At 41.1% G+C, this 1,892-nt stretch overlaps 1 annotated feature.

Annotated features, from left to right (window-relative positions):
- Positions 1,303-1,802: an enhancer, noted in NCBI's record as "H3K4me1 hESC enhancer chr8:11946257-11946756 (GRCh37/hg19 assembly coordinates)". NCBI's record gives its function as "activates a minimal SCP1, AML or CMV promoter by ChIP-STARR-seq in primed H9 embryonic stem cells {active_cell/tissue: H9 hESC(primed)}" and the evidence as "EXISTENCE:reporter gene assay evidence [ECO:0000049][PMID:30033119]".

Genomic DNA, 1,892 nt, shown 5'->3' on the forward strand with positions numbered 1-1,892 from the left:
GTATTGCCAAAGACTCACCATTATTATTTTCTAATATTAGCAATTATGACCCTGAATTTCCTCTTTAATATTATACCAATGGAATCCAAAAAGTTTTAATAAGTAATATTTTAATTTCAATATATTTATTTTTTCACTAAGATTTTTTTCTTTAATTAACTGGGTTTTAGAACAGTTTCTTATAATTTCATATCAGTGTGATAAATGAACACTTTCTGTAGAGTGTCAGTTATTTGACTTTTGTTAAGATTTGGCATGTAGAACAAATCGTTATATGGTCAATATTTGTGCATATTCAATATGTCCTATTAAAACTGTATTCTGTAGTTGTTGAATGAAGTTATTTGTAATTATTTCCTTCACAAAAATAGTAAATTTTTATTAACATCCAATGTATTATTGATGTTTAAAGTCTTCTTTTTCTTTGAATGACTAAGAAAAATAAGTTATAATCTCCCACTATAGTTTGGAATTTTTTCATTTTTCCTTGTAGGTTGCTCAATTTTTGTTTTATAAATTTGATGCTATGTTATTAAAGTGCACATATTTTGATGTATATATTTTTCTGGTACCACACTGTTTTGGTGACTATGATCTTATAGCATACTTTGAAATCAGGTAGTGTGATGCCTCCAGATTTGTTCTTATTGCTTTGTCTTGCTTTGGATATGTGGGCTCTTTTTTTGTTCCATATGAATTTTAGAATTGTTTTTACTAACTCTGAAGAATGATGGTGGTGTTCTGATGACTCCATGGGGGTCATCCACGTTGTAGGATATATAGCTATTTCATTCCTTCTATCAATAAATAATACTGTATTATATAAATATACCACAATGTGTTTATATATTTATCAGCTGATGGGCATTTGGGTTATTTCAGCTTTTTTACTATTATGAATAACGCTGCTATAAGAATTCACTGAGAATTTTTCAACTCTTACGTACAAACTTTTTTCTTAAGTATATACCTAAGAGTGGAATTGCTGGGTTATATGCTAACTCTATTTTTAATTCTTTGAAAACTGCCAACCTGTTTTTCAAACTGCTTCCACCATTTTGGTGGTTTAAGGCTCTATTTTTTGTGCTGATGGGCCTCCTGCTGGGAGATGGCGCTTTCCAGAAAGCATCCGCTGTAGTAGTGTTGAGAGATGACAACATGCTAGCAACCCTCGCTTGCTCTCAGTGCCTCCTTGGCCTCGGCGTCCACTCTGGTTGCACTCGAGGAGCCCTTCAGCCCGCCACTGCACTGTGGGGGTCCCTCTCTGGGGCTGGTCAAGGCCGGAGCCGGCTCCCTCTGCTCGCAGGGTGTGGAGGGAGAGGCCGTGGTGGGAGCCGGGGCTGCGTGTGGCCCTTGTGGGCTGGCGCGGGTTCTGCGTGGGCGCGGGCTCGGTGGGCCCCACACTTGAGGCGGCTGGCCGGTGCCTGCTGGGCTTGACCGGGGGATGAGCTCTCTCTAGGCTGCTGGAGTGCCAGGGCTGGGTGCTGCAAAGTCCTGTCTGGCGAGTGCCATCAAGAGGTGAAGCCGGCTGGGCTTCTGGGCCCGCTGGGGACTTGGAGAACTTTTCTGTCTAGCTAAATGATTGTAAAAGCACCAATCAGCACTCTGTGTCTAGCTAAAACTTTGTAAATGCACCAATCAGCGCTCTGGGTCTAGCTAATCTGGTGGGGGACTTGAAGAACTTTTGTGTCCAGCTAAAGGATTTTAAATGCACCAATCAGCACTCTGTCTAGCTAAAGGTTTGTAAATACACCAGTCAGCACTCTGTCAAAACGGACCAATCAGCTCTCTGTAAAATGGACCAATCAGCAGGATATGGATGGGGGCCAGACAAGGGAATAAAAGCAGGCCACCGGAGCCCACAGCTCAACAGGCTTGGGTCCCCTTCCATT

The sequence above is a fragment of the Homo sapiens genome, chromosome 8, assembly GCF_000001405.40.
Source record: "Homo sapiens chromosome 8, GRCh38.p14 Primary Assembly".
Lineage (NCBI taxonomy): Eukaryota > Metazoa > Chordata > Mammalia > Primates > Hominidae > Homo > Homo sapiens.